This window comes from Homo sapiens, chromosome 17 (genome assembly GCF_000001405.40).
Source record: "Homo sapiens chromosome 17, GRCh38.p14 Primary Assembly".
NCBI classification, from domain to species: domain Eukaryota; kingdom Metazoa; phylum Chordata; class Mammalia; order Primates; family Hominidae; genus Homo; species Homo sapiens.
The window spans coordinates 75,704,864-75,720,572 of NC_000017.11; the positions used below are offsets into that span (position 1 = coordinate 75,704,864).

At 50.2% G+C, this 15,709-nt stretch overlaps 1 protein-coding gene across 9 annotated transcripts in view, besides 1 other annotated feature; it reads left to right on the forward strand.

The window, feature by feature from the left end:
• Nucleotides 1-3,196, forward strand: part of SAP30BP (SAP30 binding protein) — a 40,722-nt gene extending 37,526 nt beyond the window's left edge. For 6 of the 9 annotated variants that reach the window (NR_126036.2, NR_126037.2, NM_001301855.2 and 3 more), the window contains 2 exons: nucleotides 1,145-1,229; nucleotides 1,477-3,196. Coding sequence is in view for 7 of the 9 variants with exons in the window: in NM_001301855.2 (NP_001288784.1) it covers nucleotides 1,145-1,229; nucleotides 1,477-1,658 (267 nt within the window). In the remaining 2 variants the exon portion in view is untranslated. Of the gene's footprint in view, nucleotides 1-747; nucleotides 829-1,144; nucleotides 1,230-1,476 lie in introns of all 9 variants that reach the window. The other 3 variants (XM_011524693.4, XM_011524694.3, XM_047435870.1) reach the window with 1 other exon arrangement.
• Nucleotides 1,528-2,727: an enhancer, noted in NCBI's record as "CDK7 strongly-dependent group 2 enhancer chr17:73702471-73703670 (GRCh37/hg19 assembly coordinates)". NCBI's record gives its function as "activates an origin of replication core promoter dependent on BRD2, BRD4, P300/CBP, MED14 and CDK7 cofactors, with strong dependence on CDK7, by STARR-seq in HCT116 cells {active_cell/tissue: HCT116}" and the evidence as "EXISTENCE:reporter gene assay evidence [ECO:0000049][PMID:35650434]".

Genomic DNA, 15,709 nt, shown 5'->3' on the forward strand with positions numbered 1-15,709 from the left:
GGGTCCTGCTGGCTGAGCCCAGAAGGTGTCCAGGCTGCCCCCAACCCTGGCCCCGTGTCATCACCCGGCGATGCTCTGAGCCTCTCAGCAGGGCCTGTGTGCTGAGCAGACCTGCTGGGTTCACGGCGCTCGTCTGCTGCTTTTGCCCTCGGAGACTTGTTTGCTACATTGTGCCCCCCTTTCCTCCCCGCCAATTGCAGAGCCTTGGGGGGCTTTGTCCGTTTTGGGTCATGGGGGCCCTTTGTAGCCTGAAGGGAGGGAAATAGTTCCCTAAGAGAGTGCCAGGCCCAGCTTGCGCTGCTCGGTGAGTGTCTTGGCCTCCAGAGCTGCCCTCAGTGGCTCGCCTGGGTGCTACCTATTAGGTCCCACGTTAGGGCCCTGAGCACCACTTGTTCCCTGGCAGTGTGGTCTGGGTTCTTCAGGGAGCATCAGTTTGGCTGGGAGACCAAACTGTTATCTCTGGGCCTTGTTCCCTTTGTGACCAGTCTCAGAGCCGGGCATCAGGACACCAGCTCCTCCCACTTCTGGCTCGGCCTGACCATCCTCAAGCAGCTGCGGCCTCCAGACCGCTTCCCTCACCCCAAGCAGAGGGGCTGTGGGGCCTGGGCATGCTGGTGGCCCTCTGGAGGTGCTGGCTGCTGGGCCAGGAACGTGGGAGCTGGTGCAAGGGGATAGTTGGGGTTTCTCATTCTTAACCCTTGATTGAATCTCCCTTCTCTCTCTTTCCCTCTCCCTTCCAAACCCCAGGCTTGTTGCAGGGACGTGTCTGCAGCGCCTGGGGACCGGAGCTGTCCTTCCCCTGTGCGGGCGGGCACCGCCTCCTCCTGGGTGTGAGGAGGAGGGGCCTGGCCAAACGGTTCTGGGCATGTGAGGTGGGGCGGTGGGCGGGGGGTGCCGGGCATGTGCAGAGACCTGGTGATGCCGGGAGGGATACAGTACTGTTTGGAAAGTTCTTTTAAGAGTGAAAAGCCCCTTTGGGTTCTTCTTAGACATCTCGCCCTACCCCAGATGGGCAGAGCAGAGTTCATTTCCAATGCCTCTTTTGTGTAGTGCCAAGCTCCTGTCCCCCAGGAGCTGACGGATGGCAAAAAGCTGTGGACACCCAGCTTTGCCTGGTCTTATTCTCTTCCCTCTCCCTCTCCAGATTGAGTTTGTGACGGGCACCAAAAAAGGCACCACGACCAACGCCACGTCCACCACCACTACCACTGCCAGCACAGCTGTTGCAGGTAGATTGCAGAGCTGCCCTGCCTCCTGCCACACACATGGAGCCAGGGTCTCCCTGGCTTGTTTGGGCGACAGACAGCACGTGGATCTGGGCCTGGGCTCAGCCTTGCTACTTTGAGAAGCACCTTTGGAGTCTGGGGTGGGCCACTTCGGGGTCTGCTCCCTAGACTCCCGCTGGCCTGCAGGGGGAAGGGAAAGAGGGCACCGCTCATTGGTGGATCGTGATCCTGATTTCTGCTTTATCTCCAGATGCTCAGAAGAGAAAGAGCAAGTGGGATTCGGCTATCCCAGTGACAACGATAGCCCAGCCCACCATCCTCACCACCACAGCCACCCTGCCAGCTGTTGTCACGGTCACCACCAGCGCCAGCGGCTCCAAGACCACCGTCATCTCTGCTGTGGGCACCATTGTGAAGAAGGCCAAGCAGTGACCTGAGGGGCCACCCTAGGACTTGAAAGGACCGTGCAGCCCAGTGACCACTGCCCAGTGGGAGGCGCCACTTTGTATATTTCAGGACTGGGACCTACTCCCCAGATGCCACCTGAGAGGAGCTTCTGTTTGGCATTCCAGATGGAAGGACAGGCAGCACGGGAGCCAGGCGCTGTGGACAGGGTCTGTCCACGCACCACCTGGGGTCTGCCGCCTATTAAAAGTGCCGTATTCTTACCTCTTGGCATCTCAGATGCACTGGCCTCTCCTGCATTCTGTTTGCAGGCAAATGCTTCAGCTCACATGTCCCCCAAGACTCAATAGTCTTGGTTGGGACTATTGCCTCAGGGTTGACAACAGGGTGATGGAGGCCTGGGACGCTGTTCAGAGGGGTGACCCAAGAAGTCACCGTTGTTATCCGTGTATGCCTCTGGGCATGGACAGGCGGGAGTCCCCGAGCCCCACGTATGCCCCATCTGCCGCCTTGATCCCAAAACCCAGCCAGTTCTCGGGTGATGGTGGAGCTGTGCTCCCTTGAGTGCACTTGAGCACTCCCCAGACCAGATCACTTTTTGGACACACCCAGGAAGGCTTTTGAAGTCAAGCCAGTTTCCAGAAGGGCTGGGGTGAGATCCTGACCTGTGCAGAGAGTGGGGAGGCGTCAGCGCCTGGCCAGGGCTGCCCCAGTCCTTTGGTGCCCGGTGAGCGCAGCCAGCAGGAGCTGAGCAGCGGGGGAGATGAATCACCTCCTGCCTTGGCGAGGCGGCAGCTCATTGTTTACAGGCAAGCCCTGCTCCTGGGAGGGCTCCTGCCACCCCACCCTTCCTCTGTGTGTTATCTCTGCCCCACAGCAGCCCCTGGGCAGCACCAGTGGCCACTGGGCTCCCCCCGGGGTTGAAACGGGTTTCCCAGACCAGGGGTTCAGAGGAGACTATTTACCCTTCATGATCTTTGGCGATTCTCCACTGGAGCGGAAGGGCTGTGTGTCAAAAGAAGGAAGCCAGGCTGTGAAGGGCCGTGTTGCTTTCAGTGGGTGGGCAGAGGTTTAGAAAGGTGGTTCTGAAATGGCACCTGGTACTCTTGTGGGACCTGGGGAATATAAGGAACTCTGTGCATGAGGTTTCAAAAATAAAAATTGAGTCCACTCTCCCCGTACACACACACTCGGGCACTTCAGGAGGTCAGTTCTCACCCCTTCCTCGATGGGGCTTTAAAGCTCTGGGGAGAAGAGCTGCTCCCCACTCATGCCCCAGAGGGACTGTGAAAAGGCTTCCTGTGACCTCCGATGGCGGCCCCTCATTGGCCAAGGGCACTGTGGATGTTTTGTGGGAGGCAGCATGGCACCGTGGAAAGGGCAGTAGACGTGGAGCCGGCACCTCTGGTCTGGATTCCACTTAAAACCAGTTGAGTGGTCTCAAGCCCTTAACCTCTGTAAGCCTGTTTCTTCTCTGAAATCACAGTAATAAAGCGTCGTAAGATGGTTGGGAAGAACCAGAGGTGACTTATGCAAAAGCTTTATAAACTGTAAAGTTCCTGCCAGTGTTTTTTGTTGGCTAAATCCAATTTTTTTTTGTTGTAGACCAAGGAGAGAAGCAAACTCCTGGCCTGTCCCCCGTCTCGTGCTCTGTCGGCGGGGTAGGGTTTGGCAGGTCTTTCCCCTCCCCGCTTTCCTCTGGGCAGCCCTGGCGCTGCCATTCATCTGTCCAGTTAAAGCAGTAATGACTGTCTCCTGCGGGGCCGCAGAGGTAGGGGGCCTGGAGAATGAACATAGGCTTAGAAGTTGGGCAACCCCAGGCCAAAACTGCTGCCCCACTTACCAGCCTCGTGAGTTGGGTCAAGGTTTTTAATCCTTCTAGACTTTCATTTACTCTTCTATAAAATGGTGCTTGCCCACCTTAGTCACATCAAGGATGGCCCAGAGGTGTGTGAACAGTTCCTGTTGTGGGTGGATGGCCCAGGCACTAGGGGCCAAAGTTGTTTCTAACCAGTGTGTGTCTGCTCGCCAGAGAACAGTGTCCAAACTGAACTCTGTCCACGGCTCCTACTGTCCCCCACCCACACACCTGCTACCTCTCCCGAGGGCTCTGATCTTGGGTGGGCATCAGGATTCATTTAGCTTCCCACCTTGCACATGTAGTACCCCAAGATGTGTCTCAGGTTTGTATAATCCCCTCCTGACTCTGCTGGACAGGTAGGTGCTCCTTTCTCAACACTCACAGCACCCCCTTGCTTTTAGGATCACACTGAACTGCCGTGTAATCTCTGCCCACAAGCGGGATGAGACAGCTCATGTCTCCTAGTTCTTGTAAGCAGAAACAAAGCAGGCATAAATAACACTCTGCTCCAGTGCCTGGCATGAGATAAGTACACAGGTGGTTGGGGGAATGGAGGGATGAAAGGAGAGGTGAGTTTGCTCATCTTCCAAAGGGGTGGTCTCTGCTCCTAGGGTCACTGAAATGAAAGTTTCCAGCCCCCAAGCCCTGTGCTCACAGCATCACTCAAGCCTCCTAGGGCTCGATTTCCAAAGGGCTGCTGTCGATTGGTGATGCATTGACAATTATTGAGGTTCAGTGATAGGTACAGGAGTGTTCAATATTCTCTTTAATTTTGTATCTATTTGGAAATCTCTATAATAAGGGATTTTTTAAGGGCTATTGAGCCTGGTGCAGTGGCTCACGCCTGTAATCCCAGCACTTTGGGAGGCCAAGACGGGCAGATCACAAGGTCAGGAGATTGAGACCATCCTGGCTAACACGGCGAAACCCCGTCTCTACTAAAAATACAAAAAAAATTAGCTGGGTGTGGTGGTGGGTGCCTGTATTCCCAGCTACTCAGGAGGCTGAGGCAGGAGAATGGCGTGAACCCAGGAGGCGGAGCTTGCAGTGAACCGAGATCGCGCCACTGCACTCCAGCCTGGGCGATAGAGTAAGACTCCATCTCAAAAAAAAAAAAAAAAGCCGGGCGTGGTGGCAGGTGCCTGTAATCCTAGCTACTTGGGAGGCTGAGGCAGGAGAATCGCTTGAACCCAGGAGGCGAAGGTTGCAGTGAGCCTAGATTGCGCCATTGCACTCCAGCCTGAGCGACAAGAGCAAAACTCCCTCTCAGGGGCGGAGGGGGTTGGAAGGCTATTAAGCCACACAAAAAAGAACAAGGGGCCGGGCGCAGTGATTCACGTCTGTAATCCCAGCACTTTGGGAGGCCAAGGGACTGGATCCCATGAGGCCAGGAGTTCGAGACCAGCCTGACCAACATAGTGAACCCTCATCTCTACTAAAAAAAAAAAAAAAATAGCTGGTCGTGGTGGCGCATGCCTGTAGTCCCAGCTAGTTGGGAGACTGAGGCAGGAGAATAGCTTGAACCCGGGAGGCAGAGGTTGCAGTGAGCTGAGATTGTGCCAATGCTCTTCAGCCTGGGCAACAAGAGCAAAAACTCCGTCTCAAAAAAAAAAAAAAAGGGAGCCGGGCGCGGTGGCTCATGCCTTTTAATACCAGGACTTTGGGAGGCCAAGGCGGGCAGATCACAAGGACAGGAATTCAAGACCAGCCTGGCCAACATGGTGAAACCCCATGTCTACTAAAAATACAAAAACTAGCCTGGTGTGATGGCAGGTGCTTATAATCCCAGCTACTCAGGAGGCTGAGGCAGGAGAATTGCTTGAAGCCGGGCAGCAGAGATTGCAGTGAGCCGAGATTGCGCCACTGCACTCCAGCCTGGGCAATACAGTGAGACTCTGTCTCAAAAAAAAAAAAACTGAAAAAAAGATCTTCATGGATAGATTATTTGGAGTGATCTTTAGGAGAGATTAAATGAAAAAAGGTATCAAACAGTACATGTAATAAATTATCTTGTATAAGAAGGGAGAAAATACTATACAAATAAAAAATAATTGGCTGGGCGTGGTGGCTCATGTCTGTAATCCCAACACTTTGGGAGGAGGCAGGCAGATCACTTGAGGCCAGGAGTTCGAGACCAGCCTGGCCAACGTGGTGAAACCCCATCTCTACTAAAAATACAAAAATCAGCCGATAATGGTGGTGGGCACCTGTAGTCCCAGCTAGTTGGGAGGTTGAGGCAAGAGAATCACTTGAACCCGGGAGGCAGAGGTTGCAGTGAGCCAAGATCGTGCCACTGCACTGCACCCTGGGCAACAGGGCGAGACTCTTATCTTAAATAATAATAATAATTGCCAGGCGTGGGGGCATGCACCTGTAGTTCCAGCTGCTCAGGTGGCTGAGATGGGAGGATCCCTTGAGCCCAGGAGTTGGAGGCTGCTGTGAGCCAAGATTTCACCACTGCATTCCAGCCTGAACCACAGCAAGACTCCATCTCTAAAAAATAATAATAGAAGAAGGAGCTACAAAAATAAAACCAAATAAATTAAGAAAAATCTCTAATATTAAATTTGAATGATTTGAATGAAGATATCAATATGAACTCAGGATTTAAGAAAAAGATACATTTCCTATCTGTCCATTGCAAGGAGCTAGGACCTCCTGCTTTGTATATGGTGAGTTAAAAAAAAAACAAAACCTGGAAGCAATGACAGACACCCTGGTAGCATCCAGCACACAGTATTCACATCGTGGTCTCTAATACCATTCCCCACTGAAAGGAACCAAGCCGGGGCCCCTTGGAGAAACAGCAGATCCTGAAATCTAAGTAGGACTGGGGCAGTTCTAGAAAGCAGGGAAGACACGGAAGTCAGATCAAAATGTCAAAAAAGCTAGGGTGAAGGGATCTCCTACTGGCCAAATTTGGTTACATTTGAACATGAAGGAAGAATGATTACAATGAATTGTGTGTTTTTTGTTTTTTTTTTTTTTTGAGACAGCGTCTCACTCTGTTGCCCAGGCTGGAGTGCAGTGGCACGGTCTCGGTTCACTGCAACTTCTGCCTCCTGGGTTCAAGCGGTTCTCCTGCCTCAGCCTCCCGAGTAGCTGGGATTACAGATGCCCACCACCACGCCCAGCTAATTTTTGTATTTTTAGTAGAGACGGGGTGTCACCATGTTGGCCAGGCTGGCCTCAAAACTCCTGACCTCAGGTGATCCACCCTCCTTGGTTTTCCAAAGTGCTGGGATTACAGGCGTGAGCCACTGCACCTGGCCTACGATGAATTGTAAACTATTGAGCAAATAAAAATTCTTTCATTCACAGTGATAATTTGAAAAAAAAATGTATTTGCCACCATTAGACTTGAATATATCTACTCCTTACTCTGAAATTGATAATTAGGTGAGAAGAATTAACCATTGTGCACCATTGATGGGATTTTGAAGTGCAACTGCTGTGGAAACAGTATGGCAGTTCTTCAAAAGTTTCTTTTTTTTTTTTAAGACAGTCTCACTCTTGCCCAGGCTGGAGTGCAGGGGTGCCATCTTGGTTCACTGCAACCTACTCCTAGGCTCAAGCAATCCTCCTGCCTCAGCCCCCAAAGTATCCGGGACTATAGGCATGAGCCACCATGCTCGGCTAATTTTTGGTTGGTTGGTTTGTTTTTTGAGACAGTCTCACTCTGTCACCCAGGCTGGCATGCAGTGGTGCGATCTTGGCTCACTGCAACCTCTGTCTCCTGGGTTCAAGCAATTCTCCTGCTTCAGCCTCCCAAGTAGCTGGGACTACGGCACGTGGCGCCATACCCAACTAACTGTTGTCTTTTTGGTAGAGACAGGGTTTCACTATGTTGGCCAGAGTGGTCTCGAACTCCTGACCTCAGGTGATCCACCTCCCTCAGCCTCCCAAAGTGCTGGGATTATAGGTATGAGCCACCATGCCCAGCCAGTCCTTCAAAAGTTAAAAATAGAACTATCATATGACCCAGTGGTCCCACTTCTGGATATATATCCAAAATAATTGAAGGCAGGGTCTCAAAGAGATAGTTACACACCCATGTTCATAGCAGCATCATTCACAGTAGCCAAGAGGTGGAAGTGCCCAAATGTCCATTGACAGATGAGTGAATAAACAAATAATGATATATACATACAATATACATACACGCATACTTAAATATTCAGCCTTAAAAAGGAAGGAAATCCTGTCACATTCAACACATGAATGAACCTCAAGGACGTTATGCTAAGTGCAATAAGCCAGTCACAATAAGAAATACTGAATAATTCCATTTATATGAGACATCCAGTGTAGACAAATTCATAACAGACAGGAAGTAGAATGGTGGTTGCTAGGAACTGGGCATGCAGAAGGGTGAAATGGAGAGTTGCTTAATGGGTACAGGATTTTAGTTTTGCCACATGAAAAGTTCTGGTGATCTGTTACACAACAATAGATATATTGAACTGTACACTTAAAAAATGGTAAAGATGGTGAACTTTAACGTGTTTTCAGGATCTTTTTATATTTTATTTTATTTATTTATTTATTTTAAGACGGAGTCTCGCTCTGTCGCCTGGGCTGGAGTACAGTGGCGCGATCTCCGCTCACTGCAAGCTCAGCCTTCTGGGTTCACGCCATTCTCCTGCCTCAGCCTCCCGAGTAACTGGGACTTCAGGCACCTGCCACCACTCCTAGCTAATTTTTTTTTGTGTTTTTTGTAGAGACGGGGTTTCACCGTGTTAGCCAGGATGATCTCCATCTCCTGATCTCGTGATCCACCTGTCTCGGCCCCCCAAAGTGCTGGGATTATAGGCATGAGCCACCATACCCGGCCCATCTTTTTTAAAAAAAAATATTTTGGGTTGCTGTGTAATAGTAATTTTTTAAAGTTTCTATAACTCAAAACTTTATTTAAAAAAGCATTTACCCTGCATTTTTAGGGGAACATAGTTCATTCCCAGTTGATTAAAGGAAGCTCTATTTTTTTTTTAATCAGAAAGACACTTATTAAATGTAGAAAGGAGCTGGGCACAATGGCTCACACCTGTAATCCCAGCACTTTGGGAGGCTGAGATGGGAAGATCACCTGAGATCAGGAGCTCAAGACCAGCCTGGCCAAATGTCGAAACACCGACTCTACTAAAAAAAAAAAAAAAATTTAGCCAGGTGTGGTGGCATGCACCTGTACTCCCAGGTACTCGGGGGGCTGAGGCAGGAGAATCACTTGAACCCAAGAGGTGGAGTTTGCAATGAGCTGAGATCACGCCACTGCACTCCAGCCTGGGCAACAGAGCGAGACTCTGTCTCAAAAAAAAATAAAAATAAAAAATAAAAAATTTAAAATTTAAAAAATAGGGCTGGGCACAGTGGCTCACGCCTGTAATCCCAGCATTTTGGGAGGCCAAGGTGGGCAGATCACGAGATCAGGAGATCGAGACCGTCCTGGTTAGTACGATGAAACCCCGTCTCTACTAAAATACAAAAAATTAGCCGGGCGTGGCGGCACGTGCCTGTAGTCCCAGTTACTCGGGAGGCTGAAGCAGGAGAATGGCATGAACCCGGGAGGCGGAGCTTGCAATGAGCTGAGATTGTGCCACTGCACTCCAGCCTGGGCGACAGAACAAGACTCCATCTCAAATAAATAAATAAATAAATAAATAAATATTTAAAAAATTAAAATGTAGAAAGGAAGGTAGAAACAGAAAATTGCAATTTTTCAGCCCCAAAAATGATACAGGTGCCCTTAGACTTATAATAGGGTTATGTCCAGATAAACCCATTGTAGGTCAAAAATGTAAGTGGAAGATGCATTTAATACCCTGATAAATCCATAGTAAAGTAAAAAAAATCTTAAGTCAAATCATTGTAAGTCCAAATGCTCAACTTATGATAATGTTACATCCCAATAAACCCCATCTTAAAGTTAAAAAATTCTAAATCAAACCATCTAGGTTGGGGACAGTCTAATTGATTCAAGCCAGGGTCACCAATGAGTGCTAAAACGATTCAGTGAAAGCTTGTTGGGAAACGGACAGGGAGACAAAGCATCATCCTCCTCCCCTAGATAACCTCCTTTTTTTTCTTTTTATTGTTTAATTAATTTTTTTTTGAGACAGAGCCTTGCTCTGTCGCCCAGGATGGAGTGCAGTGGTGCGATCTTGGCTCACTGCAACCTCTGCCTCCTGGGTTCAAGCAATTCTCATGCCTCAGCTTCCCAAGTAACTGGGATTACAGGTACGCGCCACCACACCCAGATCTTTTTTTTTTTTTTTTTTTTTTTTTTTTCTGAGATGGAGCCTTTCTCTGTTGCCCGGGCTGTAGTGTAGTGGTGTGATCTTTGCTCACCACGACCTCCACCTGCCGGGTTCAAGCAGTTCTTCTGCCTCAGCCTCCCGAGTAGCTGGGACTACAGGCACATGCCGCCATGCCTGGCTAATTTTTGTATTTTTAGTAGAGACGGGGTTTCACTATGTTGGCCAGGCTGGTCTCAAACTCCTGACCTCATGATCCGCCCGTCTTGGCCTCCCAAAGTGCTGGGATTATAGTCATGAGCCACAACGCCGAGACTTTTTTTTTTTTTAGTAGAGACGAGATTTCCTCATGTTGACCAGGATTGTCTTGAACTCCTGGCTTCAAGTGATCCACCTGTCTTGGCCTCCCAAAGTGCTGGGATTACAGACGTGAGCCACCGTGCCCGGCTTATTGTTTAATTTAATTTTTTTTTCTTTTAGAGAGACAAGATATCACTCTGTCTGCCAGGCTAGAGTGCCGTGGCTTGATAGCTCACTGCAGCCTCGAACTCCTGGGCTCAAGGGATCCTTTTGCCTTACCTCACAGGTGCACGGCACCACACCCAGCCAATTTTATTTTTATTTTTTGCAGAGCCGGGGCCTCCCTGTGCTGCCCAGACTAGCTTTGCACTGCTGTCCTCAAGCGATCCTCTAGCCTCAGCTTCCCAAAGTGCTTGGATTACAGGTACATTACTTCTTTTTTTATTTTATTTTATTTTTGAGATGGAGTCTCGCTCTGTCGCCCAGGCTGGAGTGCAGTGTCGCGATCTCAGCTCACTGCAAGCCCCGCCTCCCAGGTTCACACCATTCTCCTGCCTCAGCCTCCGGAGTAGCTGGGACTACAGGTGCCCGCCACCACACCTGGCTTATTTTTTGTATTTTTAGTAGAGACGGGGTTTCACTGTGTTAGCCAGGATGGTCTTGATCTCCTGACCTCGTGATCTGCTCACCTCGGCCTCCCAAAGTGCTGGGATTACAGGTAGATTACTTTTTTTTGTTTTTTTTGAGACAGTGTCTCGCTCTGTCGCCCATGTTGGTGTGCAGTGGCGCGATCTCGGTTCACTGCAAGCTCCACCTCCCGGGTTCACGCCATTCTCCTGCCTCAGCCTCCTGAGTAGCTGGGACTACAGGCGCCCGCCACCACGCCCGGCTAATTTTTTGTATTTTTAGTAGAGACGGGGTTTCACCATGTTAGCCAGGATGGTCTCGATCTCCTGACCTCATGTTCCACCCACCTCAGCCTCCCAAAGTGCTAGGATTACAGGCATGAGCCACCGCACCCGGCTACAGGTAGATTACTTCTTAATCACAAAGTGAAAATTGGTATTTTTACGTTGGGAGAGATGGCAGTCACTTCCTTAACCAAGTGATTGGCTTAAGCATCACTACTAGGCACCTGGCATCAATTGCCACCTGCAAACCACACAGCACCACCTGTGACCATCCTTGCCAAAAATATTTAACTTAACTCTAATCTGACCTTTAGCCCTATACCTCAGTTTACAAGGGGCTGAAAGAAAGGCCCAGCGACACCATGAGGAAGCATTCCAGAAGGAAGCTTCCCATGAGGAAGACAAGTCAAGAAAGGGGAGCATTCTGCAGGACAGCTGGCCCAACTCCTTAAAAGGTCAACGTGGGGGCCGGGCACAGTGGCTCATGCTTTTAATCCCAGCACTTTGGGAGGCCGAGGTGGGTGGATCACTTGAGGCCAGGAGTTCAAGACCCACCTGGCCAATATGGCGAAACCCCTGTCTCTACCAAAAAGAAAATACTAAAAATTAGCTGGGTGCAGTGGCACACACCTGTGGTCCCAGCTACTCGGGGGACTGAGGCAGGAGAATCACTTGAGCCCAGGAGGCAGAGGTTGCAGTGAGCCAAGATCTCGCCACTGCGCTCCAGCCTGGGTAACAGAGTGAGACTGGCTAAAAAAAAAGTGAACGTGGGCTGGGCGCGGTGGCTCATGCCTGTAATCCCAGCACTTTGGGAGGACGAGGCAGGCGGATCACGAGGTCAGGAGATCGAGACCATCCTGGCTAACATGGTGAAACCCCATCTCTACTAAAAATACAAAAAAAAAAAAAATTTGCCAGGGGTGGTGGCGGGTGCCTGTAGTCCCAGCTACTCCGGAGGCTGAGGCAGGAGAATGGGGTGAACCTGGGAGGCGGAGCTTGCAGTGAGCTGAGATCGTGCCACTGCACTACAGCTTGGGCGACAGAGCGAGACTCTGTCTCAAAAAAAAAAAAAAAGTAATGTAGGGCAGGGGATGGGATGGTGAGGGTTCTATTTTAGAATGACAAAGAGACAAAACAATCAAATGCAATAGGTGGCATGGATTGGACTCAAATTCAAAAGGAAACCTTTATAATAGACATTTTGGAGTCAACTAAGAAAATTTGAATATGGACTGAATCACACATCATTTAATGGAGACATTATTTCCTTAGGTGTGAAAAGGGGCCGGGCTCAGTGGCTCACACCTGTAATCCCAGCATTTTGGGAGGCCAAGGCGGGCAGATCACCTGAGGTCAGGAGTTCAAGACCAGCCTGGCCAACACGGCGAAACCCCGTCTCTACAAAAAATACAAAAATTTAGCTGGGCGTGGTGGCATGCACCTGTAGTCCCAGCTACTCGGGAGGCTGAGGTAGAATTGCTTGAACCCAGAAGACAGAGGCTGCAGTGAGCCGAGATTGCACCATTGTACTCCAGCCTGGGCAACAAGAGCAAAATTCTGTCTCAAAAAAATAAAGGGGGGTATTGAGGTTACGTGGGGGACTGTTCTTGAGAGATACATGCTGGAGTGTTTAGGATGAAATGGCAGGATAAGTGCAACTTCAAATTTAAAAATATACAAATGTTTAACAAATATATAAATAAATACAGCAAAATATTATTCTTGAGTCTAGTTGGTAAAAATACGGGTGATTTTTGTATTCTTTCAACTTTTTGGGGCATGGTGGCTCACGCCTGCAATCCTTGCACTTTGGGAGGCTGAAACGGGAGGATTGCTTGAGCCCAGGAGTTCAAGACCAACCTGAGCAACATGGTGAAACTCTGTCTCTACAAAATAAAAATTAAAAACTTATCCAGGATTTGTGGCACACACCTGTAGTCTCAGCTACTCAGGAAGCTGAGGTGGGAGGATCACTGGAGCCCAGGAGGTTGAGGCTGCAGGGAGCCTCGATCGTGGCACTGCCCTCCAGCCTAGGCAGCAGAGTAAGACCCTGTCTCAAAAAAGAGGGGGCCTATTGAGCAACCCCTTGGCTCTGAGGAGAAAACAAACCCCAGGATTCTGCACCGGAGAGGCCTCTGCCCCCAGTCTGAACATGTGGTTGATGCGGGCTCTCCAGACAGGTCACTGGACTCTTTCCACCACACATCCCCTGTCTATTTATTCTTTAACTTGTTCTTTTATAAAACAGGTGCCAATCTACCAATAAGTAATGTACATTCTCAAGTATAAGAATAGGGGCTCAGGGCTGGGCGCAATGACTCACGCCTGTAATCCCAACACTTTGGGAGGACAAGGCAGACGGATCACCTGAAGTCAGGAGTTCAAGACCAGCCTGGTCAACATGGTGAAACCCCATGTCTACTAAAAATACAAAAATTAGCTGGGCATGGTGGTGCGTGCCTGTAATCCCAGCTACTCAGGAGGCTGAGGCAGGAGAATCGCTTGAACCCAGGAGGCAGAGTTGCAGTGAGCCGAGATTGCACCACTGCACTCCAGCCTGGACGACAGAGTGAGACTCCATCTCAAAAGAAAAAAAAAAAAAAAGAATAGGGTCTCAGCTAGCACCTACCTCGAGAATACTCAGCCTACTTTGGAGACCCCTGGTTTGAACTGGGAGTGAAGGAAGCAGGCCGTAGTTCTCGTTCATCTTGGTATCCCCAGCATTTGGCATAGGAGCTCATTAACTGCTCATAAAATGAATAAATAATTGAACTAATGAATGAACAAGTCTGACCTACTGGAGGCCACATGAGGAGTGCAGGGGAGTGGAGGAGCAACAATCCAAGGTCCTTGGGCTCGGTCCTGTTCCAGGGGCCTCACCTCTCTTGCAGAGCCTAGGAAGCCCCCTATGAGCCAACCTCACTCTGGCCCTAAGGCTGCAGAGATAGTGGGGTTTATTTTAGTTTTATAAAATTCACATGCAGGCTGGGAGCAGTGGCTCACGCCTGTAATCCCAGCACTTTGGGAGGCTGAGGTGGGTGGATCACTTGACATCAAGAATTTGAAACCAGCGTGGCCAACATGGTGAAACCCCAACTCTGCTAATAATACAAAATTAGCTAGGCGTGGTGGTGTGCACCTGTGATCCCAGCTACTCGGGAGGCTGAGGCAGGAGAATCGCTTGAACCCAGGAGGCAGGGGTTGCAGTGAGCCAGGATCGCACCACTGCACTCTAGCCTGGGCAATAGAGTAAGACTCCATCTCAATGACAACAACAAAAAAAATCACATGCAATATTTAAACTTCTGGGGCCAGTAACCTATTTGGGAATCCAGTGTAAGCTAAGGCTCCCCTCCCAGCAAACCCACATTCTGAAATCAGATACTCCTCAAAGTTTGCACAAGATCTGAGATGGTTCAGGGACTCCCCACTGCCAAGTCCACATGCGGGCTCCAGGTAATGAACCCCAGGACTCCGAGAAGCCAAGGAAGCTCATGGCTTATCTTACTTAGTGAGACCTCCCTGGGTTGACATCTCGCCTCTCAGCTGCTACAGGGCTCCAGGCCCCCTAGTCATTTTCAGAAGGGTTTGCAATGAAGAGAGGAAGGGGCTGCTGAGCCCAGTGGCCTGGGGCATCGCCAGCTCTGGACCTGGGTCTTCTCTAGGAAGAAGCCTCAGCCCCCACCCACAGTGGGGTGTATATGACCCCCTAGTTCTCTAATGGGTGCTGCTGGCAGACCCAGGCCCCTCAGGCAAGCTGTTTTTGGCCGTTCTCTGAGCTCCTGCTCCATGTTTCTGTTTTTTGGGGTGGATAGGTACCTGCTGGAGTGACTCAGGTCCACAGGGCACTTGTGCTGGCCTGACACACACAGATCTGAGTGCTTCAACCAAACTGGGACTCCTTCCACATTGTTCCCAAATCCAGGAGCAAGCCTCTCTGAACACTTTCTCTGTGCAGAACAGCTCTCAGATGACCAGGAAAGGTGGCGACTCACACATTTGCAACCAGCACCCCTGCAATCACTCTGAGAGGTAGCAGTGGAGGAATCTGTTTACAGATGACAGCATGGAGGCTCAGGGAGGCTGTGTGACCATCCCATTCACTCAACCACCCTTTTATTGAGCACCTGCTATGCACCAGGCATGGTGCTAGGTGCTAGAGAGTAGCTGCCCTTGGAGTCACAGTCCAACAGTGTGGCGAGATTCCTAAACATCATTTCAAACCAATGTGGCAAATGCCATGTAAAAGCCATGGCCCAAGGGTTATGGGGACACATAAACCAACTTGGGGTGTGGAGAGGTCAAGGAAGGCTCTCTAGCACGTGGTTGGTGCAACGTCTTCAAGGACAAGAAGGATAAACTGGGCTCAATGTCATGGGAAGGGACCAGCCTGTTGAAAAAGCACGGTGGCTTGAAACCGCATGGTTTGGACAGTGCTGTGCCAGCAGTCTGGTGTTGTTTGGCATTGCTGGCCAGTAAGCCTAGAGAAAAATGGAGCCCTGGCTGGGCATGGTGGTTCACGCCTATAATCCCAGCACTTTGGAAGGCCAAGACGGGTGGATCACCTGAGGTCAGGAGTTCGAGACCAGCCTGGCCAACATGATGTACTAAAAATACAAAAATTAGCCGGGCGTGGTGGCGGGCACCTGTAATCCCAGCTACTCGGGAAACAGGCAGGAGAAGCGCTTGAACCCGGGAGGCAGAGGTTGCAGTGAGCCAAGATTGCACCACTGCACTCCAGCCTCGGCGACAGAG